The 17,531-nt window shown below is 45.3% G+C and overlaps 1 long non-coding RNA gene across 1 annotated transcript, besides 3 other annotated features; it reads right to left on the bottom strand.

Annotated features, from left to right (window-relative positions):
- Positions 1-1,775: 1,775 nt before the first annotated feature.
- On the bottom strand, positions 1,776-9,345 carry LOC105378128 (uncharacterized). The gene is made up of 3 exons (XR_943267.2): positions 8,749-9,345; positions 5,791-5,904; positions 1,776-2,237 (listed from the first exon to the last, which is right to left on the bottom strand). It is a non-coding gene; the product is annotated as an uncharacterized LOC105378128 (long non-coding RNA).
- Positions 9,319-9,519: a silencer, noted in NCBI's record as "peak6318 fragment used in MPRA reporter construct". NCBI's record gives its function as "represses an SCP1 promoter by STARR-seq MPRAs in K562 erythroleukemia cells {active_cell/tissue: K562}" and the evidence as "EXISTENCE:reporter gene assay evidence [ECO:0000049][PMID:32103011]".
- Positions 11,077-11,690: an enhancer, noted in NCBI's record as "H3K4me1 hESC enhancer chr6:167891559-167892172 (GRCh37/hg19 assembly coordinates)". NCBI's record gives its function as "activates a minimal SCP1, AML or CMV promoter by ChIP-STARR-seq in primed H9 embryonic stem cells {active_cell/tissue: H9 hESC(primed)}" and the evidence as "EXISTENCE:reporter gene assay evidence [ECO:0000049][PMID:30033119]".
- Positions 15,799-16,312: an enhancer, noted in NCBI's record as "H3K4me1 hESC enhancer chr6:167886934-167887447 (GRCh37/hg19 assembly coordinates)". NCBI's record gives its function as "activates a minimal SCP1, AML or CMV promoter by ChIP-STARR-seq in naive H9 embryonic stem cells {active_cell/tissue: H9 hESC(naive)}" and the evidence as "EXISTENCE:reporter gene assay evidence [ECO:0000049][PMID:30033119]".

The raw sequence follows: 17,531 nt of genomic DNA, 5'->3' as shown, positions 1-17,531 counted from the left end.
AAAAAGGCAATGACGGCCTTCCTTACCGTGTTATTTAAGGTAGCACTGGGAGTCATAGCGAAGTCAATTCGGCAAGAAAAAAAGACATACACATGAAAAAGAAAGAAAGAAATCAATCTCTATTTACAAATAAAATAATTCTAGAAGTAGAAAATCCCAAGAAATCTACAAAAAACTTCTGAGAGCAAGGTCATAGACATAAGATCAACATATAAAAACAAATTACGTTTGTATATGTGGAAATAAAAGTTAAAAACATAGTATGATTTACAATGGCTCCAAAGGAAATGTATACTTAGGCAAAATCTAACAAAACATCTATAGTATTTATATGCAGAAATTATGAAATGTTGATGAAAGAATGTCAAAGAAGACCTAAATAAATGGAAAGACTTACCATATTCATGGGCCCAAAGAGTCAATATAGTAAAGATGTTGGTTTCCAATGTGATCTAGCAAAATTTCAGCAAGGTTTTTTTTATAAGCATGAACAAGCTTATGGTAAAATTTGTAGGAAATGACAAAGAACTTAGAATAGCTGAAACAATTTTTTTTTAAAAAAGAAATTAAATAGCAGGAATCTACCTGATGTTGAAGCTTATTATATAGGCATGGCAATCAAAATCTTGTGTTAGTAAGAAGGGTTAGATCAACGTAATGAAATAAAGAGCCCAAAAATGTACCCATACCAACATGGCCAGCTGATTTTTTTTTTTTTTTTTTTTGAGACAGAGTCTTGCTCTGTCACCCAGGCTGGAGTGCAATGGCTTGATCTCGGCTCACTGCTACCTCTGTCTCTCAGGTTCAAGCAAATCTCGTGCCTCAGCCTGCCAAGAATCTGGGATTACAGGCATGTGCCACCACACCTGGCTAATTTTTGAATTTTTAGTACAGACGGGGTTTTATCATGTTGGTCAGGCTGGTCTCAAACTCCTGAGCTCAAGCAATCCACTTGCCTTGGCCTCCCAAAGTTCTGGTATTACAGGCATGAGCCACCGCACTTGGCCACCAGTTGATTTTTGACAAAGTTGCAAAAGCAATTCAATGGGTGGATGATGGCCTTTTGAACAGTGGTGCTGGAACAAGTGGACAGCTATAGGGAAAACAGTGACCCTCAACGCAAACCTTATGCCTCATACAAAAGAAAACTGAAAGTGGATCACAGATGTAAATGCTAAGTGTAAAACTATAAAACTTTTAGAATAAAATATAAGATAAAATTTATAGAACCTAAGGCTAGGCTGAGTTTTTACACTAGAAACCAAAAGCACAATTCATAAAAAGACAAATTGATAAATTGGCTTTATCAAAATTAAAAAGTTTTGTTCTGGAAAAGGCCCTGTGAAGAGGATGAAAAGACAAGCTACAGACTGGGAGGAAATCCTGGCAAACCTCATATCCAACAAACACTTTTTATCTAGAATATATAAAGAGGGCTAAAAATTCAATAGTAAATAAAAACAAACCAAAAAAATCCAATTAAAAAATGGGTAAAACATTTCACTAAAGAACGAACATTTCACTAAAGAAGATAGAAATGGAAAGTAAGCACATGAAAAGATATTCAACATCATTAAATATTAAGAAAGAGCAAATTAAAACTATAATGAAGGCTGAGCACAGTGGCTCATGCCTGTAATCCCAGCAGTTTGGGAGGCCAAGGTGGGAGAATCACTTTAGTCCAGGAGTTCAAGACCAGCCTGGGCAACATACTGAGAACTTGTCTTTAAAAAAGTAAATGAAAAGAAAATTAGCCCAGCATAATGGCATGTATCTATAGTCCCAGCTACTCAGGAGACTGTGTTGGCAGGATCACTTGAGCTCGGGCGGTGGAGGCTATCGCGTGCTGAGATTGTACCCCTGCACTCCAGCCTAGGAGACAGAGCAAGACCTTGTCTCAAAAACCAAAACCAAAACCCAGAAAACCAAAAACCGTAATGAGACATCACTACAAACCTATCAGAATCCCCACAGTTTTAAATGTTGGTGGGAATGTGGCGAAATTGGATTACTCTTCATTGCTGGTGGAAGCGTAGAATGGTACAGCCACTCAGAAAATAGTTTGGCAGTTTGATTTTTTTTTTAAAGAAACAAACATTCACTTAACTTGCTTTAAAGAGATAAGCTTTCTCCCCTAATTGACTAGCCTGCCTCGCATATTGGAAGGTTCTGAGCACCCCATGCTGAATGTGGAGGCAATGCTGAAACTGCAGTTCTCCTCCTCAGGAACCACGACCCTGTTGGGGAGAGAGACATGGCACTGGGTATTGTTTCTGCACCAGGCCCAGTGCTGTGCACCCCACTTTCACTGCCTCGTGAAATCCTCAAAATAACGTCATGTGGCCGTGACTTTTTCCCCCACCTCACATCTAAGGAAACTGAAGCTTGGAGGGGTGAATCCTCGAAGCAGAATACTGGGAACCAGGCCTGCCTGATGCTGAAGTCCATGGAAACAGGCCTGTTGGCAAAATGAAATATGCAGAAGAGGCTCTGCAGAGCAAAAGTGAAAGGAGCATAGGGGCACTAAGAATGAATCATTGACTCTGGGGTGTTTGGGGAGGACTTTCCAGCAGGGTTTTGAAGAGTGCATAGGAATACCACAGATGAACAAGAACAAAGAGCTTTCAAGGTATAGTTAGATGTTTGCCTGAAATCTCAGTTCTCTGATGAGAAGTCATTAATTTACAGTTTCCTCACTTTTTCCTTCCTGTAATGGTGAGAGCGACACCTTTTCCAGCTCTCGACCTCCCAGAGCCGCACCTGCCGGGGGGATGTGGGGTAAAACTGACACAGCTTGCTCATTAGCTGGGGTGGAGGGCTGAGAGGCAGGGAAGAGTCAAGGGCACAACCTCTGGTTTCATTAACTGGCCAGTTAGTCACACACACACGTGCATATGTCCACATGCTCACACGCACATGCCACATGTATGCAGGACAGGGATGGAGGAATATGAGCTGAGATTTGATCATGTTGTCAGGAGCTTGTGAGGCATTAGCCAGCGTGTGCAGCTGAATGCAGAGGTTTGGCTCCTGTGAACGGGACAGACCTGAGAATCCATAGCACACAAGAGACTGTTAAACCACAGGAGGTGATGACGTCATGTAAAACGCTGATGGAGTAAGAATAGACGCCGCTGAAAAAAGGGAGCATTCATCAGGGGCAGAGGAATCGGCACCTGCGGCGGGAGGAGAAGGGAGAACTGAGAAGGAAAGCAGGAGCACCCGTGTGGGCAGGGAGGAGCAGCTAAGGAGGAGGACAGCGGATGACCAGGACTGCAGCAGGGGAAGAAGGAGCCTGGAGCATAGTGAGCGGCCTGAATGGAAAGAAAAGGAACGCAATCAATGCTTTTTCAGGGAAGATGCCGTTCACTGAGGCTGGTTCGTGAATGCATTTGAGAACATGATCCTGTATAAATATATCTTCCTGTACAGGAATCTTATTAACTTAAGTTGGGCAGGTGCTCTTAACTTATACACTGATACCTTGGGGGAAAATATCCATTTTTTCATCCAAAAACTATGTGCCAGGTGCCTCCTATGTGGCAGGCCCTGTTCTAGGCCCTTAGAACGCACCAGCGAACAAAGCGAACATCCCCACCTCACAGAGCTGCACCTGAGCAGCAAGACAGCACCGAACCTCAGGAGGCGGGATGTGCACATCCGTAAGCGGACTCGCACCAAGGGGAAAAGTCAGCAGGTCAGGGAGGATCAGAAGGTGTTTGGGGGATGTTGCCATTTTCAATAGAGTGATTAGAATGGACCACACTGAGAAGGGAATGTCTCCACCACACTTGAGATAGGCGAGTGAATTTGTTTCCTATGGCCGCTGTAACCAAGCAGCACAAGCTAAGTGGCTTCAAACGACAGAAATTGTTCTTTCACAGCCCTGGAGGCCAGAAATCCCATCTCAAGGTGCCTCCTCTAGCTTCTGACGCCCCAGTGCTCCCTGGCTCACAGCTGCTTCTCCAGCCTCCGACCTGTCTCCATGCAGCATCTTCCCTGTGTGTCTCTGTCTTCTCCTCTTCTGAGGGACACCGATCCTCTTGGGTTAGGTCCTACCCTAATGGCCTCATCTCAATTTGATGACATCTGCAAAGACTCTATTTCTAAATAAGCTCTCATTCACAGGCAGGGGAGCCAGGACTTTAACCCATCTTTACTGAGACACAATTCAATCCACAACAGTGAGGAGATCAGACTTCCAGATCACTGAGGGACAAGCAGCCCAGAGAGCTGGAGCCCCCGGCATGCCCATGGCCAGCGAGGAGTCCACTGTGGCTGGAGGAGAGGCAGGAGAGGAGGAGCTGTTAGGAAATGAGGAGGTCTGAAAACAAGGAGGAGGAGCAGTGGCACACATTTAGGCTTTGCTGATGGTTGGACTTGGTGGATATCACAGATGGAGCTCCCTTTTTCAGAGCTTGACGTCAACTCTGAAGCCGGGTGAGGAGTGAAGATACAGGCGCAGTGCCCCTCATGCCTCCCACACCTGCTGCTGAGCATCCTGACAGATTCCGCTTGTTTCTGATCCTGTTTGCATCTTCTCGGCAATGATTCCACTCCTTATTAAAGAGGCAGGGAACATCTGATGTTCAAGTTTTGAATTACATGAAAAGTTCCATCGAGGTAGTTTTGATAAATAGTTTTTTTTTTCTTTTTTTGGTCGGGGGGATGGAGTCTCACTCTTGTCACCCAGGCTGGAGTGCAGTGGCGTGATCTGGGCTCACTGCAAACTCCACCTCCTGGGTTCAAGCAATTCTCCTGCCTCGGCATCCTGAGTAGCTGGAATTACAGGTGCCCACCACCACGCCTAGCTAATTTTTATAGTTTTGGTAGAGATGAGGTTTCACCATGTTGGCCAGGCTGGTCTTGAACTCCTGACCTCAAGGGATCCACCCGCCTCAGCTTCCCAAAGTGCTGGGATTACAGACATGAGCCACCGTGCCCGGCCAATAGTTTTGTTTTAAGTACAGACATGATGAAAGCCAATGAGATGCCATGTAGTGTTTTACAATCCTTAACACAGAAATGGCTTATTGTCTCAAATGCAGTCTTAGAGTTTATAGGAGAAAAGAATACAAATCCATGTTAATATCTAAATTTCCATGCCATTTTCCCACCCCCGTTATTAGACGATGTTATAACATCTTCCAGATCTGTTTTCACTTTTTCCTTTGGAAATAGTTGAGCTAATGGAGGAATTTATAAAGCAACCCACTCATATCCATGAATCAGTGTGAAATACTGCACCCTGGTGGAAATATCCCTCCTGTCCGGGGTCTGTGATGACATCCCACTCCTTCCTCAACCAGCATCCATGTCCTGTGTGCTCAGTTAGCAAAGAACTCGGGGTATAAAGAGTAGAAGAAAACGTGCCTGCCTCAGGTCTAATGGGCGGATGAGAACTAGAGCAGAGTGAGGGTCAAGTCACCTCTTGAGGATGACTAAAATGTTCAGGTTGAGCGAGGCAGGAAGCCCAGCGAAGAGGACAGTGTGGGCCCTAAGCAGGCACAAGGAGCTCGTCTACGGGGCACAGGAGAGGAAGCAGCAGAGGTCTTCTGTGCCTGGCTCCACTCCCATGCTGGATGGGAATGGGCGGATGAAAAGGAGCTGTGAAAAGAGGTTATAGGCATGAGGAGAGGACAGCTCGTGGGGCCTCCGTGGGGCTGCACACTCCTGTACTGGGGTTGGCAGGGGGTGGTTGTAAGAAAACAGGACTCTGTTTCTCATGCCAGTGCAAGACCACCCAACTTAGGACGGTGCTTCTCAGACTTCCGTGTACACAGTACTCACCTAGGGAGCTTGTGAAAATTCTGTGATTCGGGAGTCCTGGAGTGGGTTCTGGAGTCTGCATTTTCAATAAGCACCTGGTGCCAAGAGACCTGGTCCATAAAACACAGAGCAGGGCTGGGAGAGAGGTGGGAAGTTACACAGGCTAGCCTGTTAGCAGTGGCAAATTCATATGGGTCTGCAGGATTATGAGTGGGGCCTGAACTCTGCTAAGATGCAGGCGTAGTTTGATGATCACCAGCCATTGTTCTAGAGGTCACGAGATTTGTAACTTCCCCAATGACTTCTGTAAATAATACCATTTTTGTAGAACCTAAGGTTGGCCTTTTGAGATTACTTTTCAGACTTTTGCATTTCTGCCTACGAGCCAACTCCACTTGGACTCATGACTCATGACTCAACTGGTCCTGGGGCCTCATCCAGAGACAGATGCAGCTCAGGAGGACCATTTTCCACACCCCTGTGATGGCAGCCCCAACCAGCCGGCAGCCCCAACCAGCCAGCAGCACCCATTCCGTAGCCCCCTGCCCAACAAACTATCCTTGAAAATCCCTAGCCCCAAGCCTATGGGAAGATTGACATGAGTGATGGGAACTCCAGCTGTCCCACATGCCCAGCCTCATGTCAATCACACGCTTTCTTTTAATTTTTAATTTTTTTTTTCAGTCTCACTCTTTGACCTAGGCTGGAGTGCAGTGGTGCAATCTTGGCTCAACATAACCTCCGCCTCCCAGGCTCAAGATTTTCCTGTGTCAGCCTCCAAAGTAGCTGGGATTACAGGCATGCACCACTACTGCTCGGCTAATTTTTGTGTTTTTGCTAGAGACAGGATTTCACCACGTTGGCCAGGCTGGTCTCGAACTTCTGACCCTAGGTGACCCACCCACCTTGGCCTCCCAAAGTGCTGATATTACAGGTGTGAGCCACCACGCCCGGCCTCTTACTATTTTCTATAAAATTACATTTTATTTCATTGTGCTCAGTAATGGGGCTTATACAATTTCTGTGTTTTAAAAGTTACATGGTTTTTGTGGCCTATCATATAACTAATTAAATCGTTTATTTACATTTATACAATATGTATTTGTTTTCTTTGTATTATATACAGTATAATAGCTCTGAAATTAAACTTTTAACTTTTTATTGTTAGGGTCTGTATTTTATTATTCTAAAGTCAATGAACAGCTTAGAAAATAATTTTATTTATTTATTTTTGAGACAGAGTCTCTCTCTGTCATCCAGGCTGGAGTGCAGTGGCATGATCTAGCATGATCTTGGCTCACTGCAACCTCCGCCTCCCAGGTTCAAGTGATTCTCCCACTTCCACCTCCCGAGTAGCTGGGATTACAGGTGCACGCCACCGTGCCTGGCTAATTTTTGTATTTTTAGTAGAGACGGGGTTTCTCCCTGTTGGTCAGGCTGGTAGAACTCCTGACCTGAGGTGATCTGCCCACTTCGGTCTCCCAAAGTGCTGGGATTACAGGTGTGAGCCACCATGCCTGGCCAATTAAAAGCTGTCTTTACTGCAATGCTGTGGTCTCGGTGAATGGACTTTGTCTGTGCAGTGCACAGAAAGAACCCAACAGGCAATTAGACCGCATGATTCCTTCTCAGGCTAACTCCCAATCCTTGGCATCCCTTAGAGGATCTCCATAATTGGAATAAGTCTCTATACCATACTCAGCAACTACCTTCCAAGAAATCTAAATATGAGAGATATTTCCTTTCATAATTATATGCAGTAGAAGCAGTCATACACTTCATCCTCTGCTCATTGGCCAGAGCCAATAAACCTTGACATTTTGTTTCTGAAAGCCCTTAAAATTCACACTTTTTTTTTTACATTCAAAAATTTCTTAACACTTAACAGATGAATGCCCTGATATTGAGGACTAAACTGATTTTTTATCTTGCTCAAATTCCTATCTAAGGGGTCTGGGGAGTCGTGCCCTATGAATCATAAATTCTCATTAGATGGGTTTTATTTAACCCTATATATTGCAACTTACTTTCCAAACTGACTCTGGCATAATATTATGAGAAAAAGAAGAAAATCAAAGTATTTTACCCCAAAACATGTTTCTTTGCCATATTTTGAAATGGCCCTGCAAAGCTGTTCTTTGTGGGAGAAAATTTTCATCTGTAAAGAATCTCTTAACATAGCCAGATCTTTTTCTTCCAGATCCTCCTAATTCTAAAGAGATTAACTAAGATCTGAATAGGAAACATTTGTCATCTATTGTCTCTAAGGACAGCCACTATAAGACGTCAAAAGAACTTTGGTCTCCACAATCTTTATCTTAACCAGAACGTTGCCCTTCTATCAATCCCGAGTCTTTAGACAAACTCAACCAATTGTCAACCAGAAAATGCTTAAATTCACCTGTAGCCTGGAAGCCCCTGCTTTGACTTGTCCTGCATTTTTGGACCAAACCAATGTATTTCTTAAATGTATTTGATTGATGTCTCATACCTCTCTAAATTGCATAAAACCAAGCTACACCCAACCATCTTGGGCAAATATTCTCAGGACTTCCTGAGGGCTGTGTCATGGGCCATGGTCCCTCATATTTGGCTCAGAATAAATTTCTTCCAATATTTTACAGAGGTCAACTCTTCATTGACAACATACTCTGGAAGGCAGTACCTCCTTGACAAACTGAAAGCCAACTAGAAATGAAGGCAACCCCCAGGAGGAAAGGGACCCCAGTCTGTGCACTCCCTGGCTCTCCCTCCTGGTGTCCTCCTTCCCCAAAACCTTCCGGGTTCATTCCTGGCTAGGCAGGCAGGTGCGGGCTTGTCAGTGGGTACATCCTGGGGCTAGATCTGCTTGGGCTTAGATGTGACTCCATTGCTTTAAGCTGGGTGGCTTGGAGAAGAGTACTGAACTCCTCTGAACCTCACTGTTCTCATTTGGAAAATGGGAATAATAATATTTCATACTGAAAGAAAGGAACTCACCTGGAGTTATAGGAAGGAAGTTGCATCCTTGAGTCGAGACTGACTTCTAAGGCTTTAAGTATCCTTTAGTTGACAGCCACAGCCACGCTGAGCTCTCGGTGATAAATGAAGCTGGAGTGCCACACTGAGCTTATGTGTCTTTAAGATTTCCTCGATGGAACGAAGAAAAGATCAAAATGGGGCCTGCGTTGAGGAATTCAAGTATCTCCATACAGCAATGATATGTTTTGAGAAGTTTTCAAAATTGGAACTCAAAGGACAAGGCAATCATTTCAGGTGGATTTGCCCCACAAGAGAATTTATTGAGACAAAAGTATATCAGTTTGAACTTCCCAGGAAGTATGTTTTGAGTAAACAGAGTAGACTAAAGCATCCACTTCCAAAATTATCTACTTGAATGTTACAAGGAATGATAAACTGCCATTGACTCAATGCTTCATTGAAATTTGTTCTTGCTAGTGTCAGAGGCATTTGAACCAGAGTGACTCCATCTTGAAAAGGGGCTGGTTGAAATGGGGCTAAGACCTGCTGGGCTGCATTCCAAGGAGGTCAGGCATTCTTAGTCACAGGATGAGATAGGAGGTCAGCTCAAGATACAGGTCACAAAGACCCTGCTGAGAAAACAGAATGCGATAGAGAAGTTGGCCCCAAACCAACCAAAACCAAGACAACAATGAAAGTAACCTCTAGTCATCCACACTGCTTCTTACGTGCTAATTATAAAGCATTAGCATGCTGAAAATGCCGTCACTCCCACCAGCACCATCAAAGTTTACAGATATCATCGCAATGTCCAGAATTACCCAATGTGGTCTGAAAAGGGGAGGAACCCTCAGTTCAGGGAAATCCCTGTCCCTTTCCTGGAGAACTCATGAAAAATCCAACCCTTGGCTGGGCTCAGTGGCTCACGCCGATAATCCCAGCACTTTGGGAGGCTGAGGTGGGAGGATCACCTGAGGTCAGGAGTTCAAGACCAGCCTGGCCAACATGGTGAAACCCCATCTCTGCTAAAAATACAAAAATTAGCTAGGTGTGGTGGCAGACATCTGCAGTCTCAGCTACTCAGGAGGCTGAGGCAGGAGAATTGCTTGAACCCAGGAGGCAGAGGTTGCAGCGACCCAAGACTACACCATTGAACTCCAGCCTGGGTGACAAGAATGAGACTCCGTCTCAAAAAAAGAAAAGAAAAGAAAAGAAAAATCCACCCCTTGTTGAGCACAAAATCAAGACGTAACTATAAGTATACTCAGCGGAGCAGCCCATTCCACCGCTCTGTCTGTGGAGCAGCCATCGGTTATTCCACTGCTCTGCCCGTGGAGCAGCCATCATTTGTTCCACTGCTCTGCCTGTGGAGCAGCCATCATTTATTCCTTTACTTTATTAATAAACTTGCCTTCACTTTACTCTATGAACTCACCCCAAATTCTTTCTTGTGTGGTCCAAGAATCCTCTCTTGGCATGTGAATTGGGATCCCTTTCTAGTAACACCAGCTCATTAGGTTAAGTTTCTAATTTAATAGATTTACTTTTTGGGCACTTGATTTATAAGGAATACACACAGTTCACAAATAACTATTTTTACAGGACTTGGACCATGCCCTATTATTTTAAATCCTCCTGAAGATTTATGATTTTTGTAACTTTTTCTATTGTCCTATTATTAGTCCTGGCTATGATTTTTTAATGGAAAAAGCATAGTCAGGTGAGCCAACTGCAATTGTAATCCTATTCCTATGGGAAACACATGCCCCTGAATGGTTTGCTTTATAACAAGGATTCACTAACAAGTTGCAGGGGAAGTGAAGCCGGCCTGTTGAAAACAAGGCCAGAGGGCTTCCCCTTTCCAATAGCTCTTTTTTTCATCTGAAGTCTGGAAACCAGGGTGGAGTATAATATGCAGAAAATATTCAAAGAGCCTCGCCCTTTCTTTCCTCTTAAGACAAGGAAAGCCCAGAGTCCTGGGAAAAAATAAAGAACTTGAAACTTGGAGAGCAGAAATAGAAACAGGAAGCCCAGAGCAGCAAACCGCCTTGCCCAGGTGGGAGAAGGGCCATGCACAGAGCTCTCAGAAGGCCCTGGTAAGGGTGGCCCTTGCCAATGGCTCCCCCATCTGCACACTGCACGGGGGCCTCCCCGACACACCACTATTGCTTTTCTGATGAGAGAGGAAGCAGCTCTTCTGCAGAGGGACGAAGCCTGCAGAGTGATCATTTCAGAGCCCCAGGGGAGTTTGGTGGATCTGCTCTTTCAGCATTCACAGGGGTGGGAGGCTTCTGGCAGAAACAGAGGCTTTGATCTATTATTTACGAAAAGCATCGGAAAAAAATCAGTCATTTGAAGGTGCCTGAAAAACAGCTTCTCTTAGGAGCTTCCTCCCTCCTGGAACTGGCTCAAGTGGGACACGTGGTCCGCCGGGAGGCCTCCGACCAGGGTCTTCCTCCTTTTGGGCTTGACATGGTGTGCACTAGGGCACCTGTGAGCTTGGCACCTCTGAGCTTGGCACCTAGGAACAATCGCAAGCAAACGTCTCTGATTCTCTGACACAGAGGGTGTTCTGTAAGCAGCTCCAGTCTGGTCTCAGGGTCACGATTAGAAATTCCTGCCTTAGCCTTTTGCTGTTTCCTTTTAGGGGTTAAGGCTGTCCTGGTGAAGCTGTGTTGGAAAAGAAGGCAGTAAAAGTTATTATAATTCAGTTTGTGGTGCAGCTTATATTCCTGCATTAAAAATGAATCATGGAAGACCCTTTGCCCTGAAGCGTGCCTCAGCTGCCAAACGTCACATTGCACAATGGCAAAGAGCATATATACATAGAGGCTTATAAAATCATACTTTGCTCTTAAAAGAAATTTTCTCTCTCACCAAAGAAAGTACTCAATATGGTTCAGAAAACAGGCTTCAAGTGTTCGAAGGTGGCCTCAGAAGGAGGCCTTATTAGAATCCTTTTCTAACTATGAGCCAGTCAGACCCTCCACTGTGACTCTCTCTATGGTAGCAACAAGCCACACCCTTCAGGCTGACTGAATAACTGATTCAGGCGTGTTAGGCACATTAACTCATGGACCAAAACACCGCCTCACCTGCTGAAACAGGGATTCATTTATCTCAATCTATGGCTCAACATCCATCCATCCATCCATACATACATACATATACACATACATACATACATACAGTTGTCCGTCTGTTCATCCATCTGTCCATGCATCTGTCCATGCATCTGTCTGTTCATCTATCTGTTCATCTATCTGTCCATATGTCCATCCATCCATGTGTTTATTCATCTGCCCATTTGTCTGTGCATCCAACCATCTGTCCACCTGTCCATCCATCCATCCATCCATCCATCCATCCATCCACTCATCTGGCCATCCATCTGTCCATCCATCTGTCCATCTGTCTGTTCATCCATCCATCTGTTTGTCTATCCATCCATCCACCCATCCATCCAACCATTGATTCTCTGTCTTGTTCCAATAAAAAACAAGTCTGGCTAGTAATATTACCAGCATTACTCAGAGACTTGGTGATTAATAAAAGAGGATGGAATAGAGGATAAAATAAGAAGCAAACAAACAAAAAAAGGAAGGGCTGGGCATGGTGGCTCATGCCTGTGATCCCAGAACTTTGGGATGCTGTGTCAGGAGGATCGCTTGAGCCTAGGGGTCTGAGACCAGCCTGGGCAACAAAGTGAGACCCCGTCTCTTAAAACAAAAAGAAAAAAAAAAGAAAAGAAAAGAAAAAAAAAGAAAAGAAATTAGCTAGTGTGGTGGTGCACACTTGTGGTCCCAACTACTTGGGAGGCTGAGGTGGGAGGATCACTTGAGGCCACTTCGAGGCTGAAGTGAGCTATGATTGTACTTCTGCACTCCAGCCTGGGAGAAAGAGTGAGAGCCAATCTCTATTAAAAAAAATGGGAGAAGGAATACAGAGAAATGGAAAATGAAAGAGAAATGAACTTACTCTAGTTGGTTTTATTTGAAATATTCCATTATGTTGAATAGCACTGAAAACAGACAAGGAAAGATCACATTGTCTAAAAGATGATTCTTCATATTTGAAAATGAATCTAAACTAATGCTTCCCTACAATAATACAGCAAGTAACTATGTGAAGCTAAGGGGAACCAGCGCTAACACTGATCCATGAAGAAGGGCATACAGAACACCCCTACCCCAGCTAACGACGCTTCCCAACATGTATATGAGACACGTGCTGCTTTTGCTTACCTGGTATCTATCAGTTTCCCCATCTTTTCATTAAGTCATTCTGATTTTCTTCAGGGTAGGTTTGGAAAATTTGAGAGGGGAGGATAAACCTGGCCAATGAATATATTCTATTCCCCTGGTCACAGTGCTGGGCTCAGAAATGGTCACGTGACTCGAGTAGATTCCACCGGCGTTTGCCCTGGGACTGGTCCTGGAGTGGCCAGGAAACCATGGGCTACTTCTGCCGTGTTTGGAGCAGAGGATCCAAGAGGCCAGAGCTCCACAGCTGCTTAAATGACCGTAACCATCACAACTCGGACAAGGCATAGGCAAGCCACGGTGTCCCTCATCTCAGAGCTTCTGACAGAGAGAGAACTGCTCAAGAAGACAGCAAAGCACACTCCAGAGATGCGTGCGAATAAAACCCAGTCCCGAAGACATCAGCAGAGCTGTCGGATCCCAATCTATCCAGACTTCAGTTATGGGAATAATAAGTTCCACTCTTGGCCAGGCACAGTGGCTCACACCTATGATCCTGGAGGCTGAGGTGGGAGGAACCCTTGAGTTCAGACGTTCAAGACCAACCTGGGCAACATAGTGAGATCCCGTCTCTACAAAAAGTAAACAGAATTAGCCAGACCTGTTGGTGCACACCTGTAGCCCCAGCTCTGAAGGCTAAGGTGGGAGGATCGCTGGGACCTGGGATGTTGAGACTGCAGTGAGCCGTGATCGCACCACTGGACGCCAGCCTGGGTGACAGAGTGAGACTCTGTAAAAAAAAAAAAAAAAAAAAAAAAGAGGATGAAAGAGAAGAAAATACGAAATTCTACTCTTTGCTAAAGTCAGTTTAAGCTGGGAGTCAGCTTCCAGAAAAACGTAGTCCTGGTAGGTGCAGACATCAAAGGGCCTCGTCCCCTTCAGTGGCTGTGTTCTCCCCTTCACCCCTAGTCGGGGCAGGAAAGAAGAAGATGGCTTCAGCCACCTGCCCTGCCACATTAACCTTCAGGGATTACATCCGGAACTGCCAGATGTCTCCAGAGAAGAGGCTGCCAATGGCCCCACCACTGGTGAGGCGTCTGCTCACCTGAGGGACGTGACCACATCACTCCGGCAAGGGTTTTTTGCCACCCAGGGGTGTGCGTTGAGCATTTTGGCGTCTAAGTGACACTTGATATTTTATAGCTAAGTGTAGTTCCATCTGCTTAAGGTAAAAATGCCAGAGATTAAAAAAAATCACACATATAGGTAAATGTGATTTTTGGCCACTGTTACGTTAATGTAACTTTTGGAAGTCATGAACTACTTGACAACCTGGAAGCTCCACAGCTATGGAAATAATTCTTCGAGTGTTCTCTGAAGGCAATGAGCAAGGGTAAGAATAAGCAGCCCCAGCCCCCAAAAGCAATGGAAGTATTTGTTTTACTTTTGAAGGCAGGATATCATGGATTATATATGCCTTATCTTAGTTATGGTGGTTTAAACAGCAATAAAGTATAAATTTTAATACATAGTAAAAATGCCATTTTTCACTTTCCTATTATTCCACAATCTCTGAAAAATGTCTTCCTGGAATCTCCTGGAACTTTTGGAACATAATACCAACATTTTCAGAGCATTTTTCAATGTGCCAGGTATTATGTCAGCTACTTAGGATTCAAATAAAAATCTCGCTACTCTGTCGACCTTCAGTGCATAACAGCTTAGCAGAAGAGAGGAGGAAGAAATGGACAGCAAAAGCATAGCTGCGGAGTGAAGTGATGAAAGTCAGAATGCAGGCACAAACCGAGGGGTACAGGAGCAGGGAGCGGGGCAGGCTCCTCAGACCCCTGAGCAAATCCGCGGGAGTCACAGGGGCACAGGCAGGCTTCCAGGAAAACGGTCGCCATGAAGTGTTGACAGTTGTCAGGGTGAAGGAAATTTGATCCTGAGGATGCTGGCCCTGGTTTTAGCATTTCAATACTGCTGGGTGTCTTGCCAGTGTGATACCCCCTGCACGTGATACCACCTGCAGTGGCAGGTTTCAGCCAGGCCTTTGGTGCTTAAGTGACCCTCGGTATTTGGTAGCCAGGGCAGTGAGCTGGCCTTCATTCTGACTGGCCACTGCCCATGTGGGACTAGGTGCTAAATACATAGGATATCACCCCGAATCCTGAACTACTGATTGTTTCGTGAAGTAATACCATGATGTTAAACACTGCTTTAAAATGTTTAAATCAAACCAAGAAAAATATTTTTAGAAAGCAAGCTTCTATACCTTCAAAATCTTCAAGAGGAGGAAGACGAGGATAATGGACAAAGCAAAGCTTCTGTTATAGGAATAATTATTTCATGGTTCCAGATACTTTTGGAACAGTAGAAAGTCAGCATGACCACCATCCTACATTAGAATCTCTATCTATACATGGTGAAGCCCCATCTCTACTAAAAATACAAAATTAGCCAGGCAGGGTGGGGGGCACCTGTAATGCCAGCTACTTGGGAGGCTGAGGCAGGAGAATTGCTTGAACCTGGGAGGCAGAGGCCGCAGTGAGCTGAGACGGCGCCACTGCACTCCAGCCTGGGTGACAGAGCAAGACTCTGTCTCAAAAAAGAAAAAAAAAAAGATGAAGATAAATAAATGCCTGATTTGAGAATATTGGAAGAGCTTTCTCTGCACATGTGAAAACTTGACCGAACATATGCTTCTGTTACAAAAATATCATTGTAGATGCACTGTGATTTTTAAGATCACACTGTTAAGAAATACATAACAATATTTCATTTTCATTTGTCATTAATAATTTATTGTCCTTTTTTGTGTAGCATTTAGCACATTTAAGAAATATCTATTCATAGGTAGTTATAAAGAATACATACTTCATATTTCTACTTTTACAAATGTACATTTTTTATTTCTATCCTGTTTATAAATTTTGCATTTGAAAGGTTTAGGATTTTTTTTAAAGAATGCATGGATTCTGAACACTGATTTCGAAATGCCAGTATGAACAGTGGATTGGAGCCTTCTATGAAGGAAATACTTGCACTCTGAGTTCTGTGCTCTCCCTGGCAGGGCAGTGCCTCCTGGTGCCGAGAGAAGCCCTGGGCCCTGCCTCTGGGCAGGGTTCTCCTCCCAGGCTGTGGGGCTGAGGTGGAACCAACTTCAGCAGACATGGGTTCTGAAGTCGGCTGCAGGCTGAGGTCACCTGCAATCTGGACCTTCCACAATTGCCTCCTGAGGGCACTGGCTGCTGTGTAGGTGCATCCCTCCCTGCATGCTTGTGATGCTGGCACAGAGGCCCAGGTAGAAACAGCCAGGCCCAGAGGGTGGTGGTGCCCATGCCCAGAGGGGTGGCCTTTTCCATGCAATGAGCTGTTGCCCCTGCCTTCCTGGTTCAGCCATCTCCCTGGTAAGGGCCTTTCCTTCCCTCCTGGGCCATCCTCACAGCCTCGGGTCTGTGGAGCAAGGGCTCTGCCCTTCCAGAGCTGTGGCTGAGGCTGTGTCTCCTCAACCTCACTCTGCAGGGATAGCCAAAGCACTGTGAAGGGAAAATTGTCATGAAACGGCCCAGCCTCACCATAGAACCATTGAACTATCTGCATTTCAAGAAGAAAGTTCCCAGGAGAAAGCCTTCTGCAATAGAGGAGTGGCTGGAGGCATCTCAGGGCACCAGGAATGCAGTGAGGTGGCTCCTTCTGATGGGGCCTGCATTGCTGATGCCGTAAGTCACCTGCAGACGACAGCCCTGGCACGGGGCTGCTCATGGGTCAAACCCTCATGGGATGGGGAGGGAATACACTAACGCCACCTCTCTCCTTTAACGTTTTTGTCAGACAATCAAAATAACCTCCCAGAAAAAAAACCGCAAAGTCCTCCCATTTTACTGATCTCATACATAGAGTCAGCAACGCAGGAAATAAATCTATCAGAATCCATTAAATGCCTTTCCCGCACTTCTAAATATCATTGATGAGAAAAGACACATTGATTCAGCCGTGCTTCTCAGCAGGTGGAAGGCCCAGTGCAGAGACAGCAGCCGCCAGAACTGGGGTCACTGGTGAAGGCGGAGACCTGACTTGCCCGAAGCCCGGGACCCTTCTTGAAAGACTGACACCATCAGGACTGGCCCATTCCAAAAGAGGCAGAAACACCCACAGCTGTGTAGGGTATAGGGCTGGACACCGAGTGGTCCCACAACTCCACTCCTGCCCAGGATACAGGAGACAGAAGTGGCTGTGTTCAGATCCCAGGAACTATCACCTTCCTGCTTTCATTGACAGCTTCCTTTCCTAGCAGAACCAAAAATAGCTGTCAATCAACCCTCAACTTAGTGAAAATAAAAGGACAGCAATTCTCCTAAGCAGTGCTGGGTGCATAACGGGACACACAACAAGAGTGGGATGCTTGTGTCTGAGTCCAGCTCTACCGTGGCCCAGCTGCCACCTGGGACAGGTCCTTAACTCACCCATTCAGCCTCTCCCTCATCATCCTCCCTCCCCTCTGCCCCACCTGTCGCCTTCCCCACCATCACCCTCTTTCCCAAACCAGACCCAGTTTCTAAGAAGAGCTCTAACAGCTAGTTCTTCCCCCTCAGTCAC

This window comes from Homo sapiens, chromosome 6, assembly GCF_000001405.40.
Source record: "Homo sapiens chromosome 6, GRCh38.p14 Primary Assembly".
NCBI lineage: Eukaryota > Metazoa > Chordata > Mammalia > Primates > Hominidae > Homo > Homo sapiens.
Note: the sequence above shows the minus strand (reverse complement) of the source record. Positions and strands in the feature narration are given on the sequence as shown.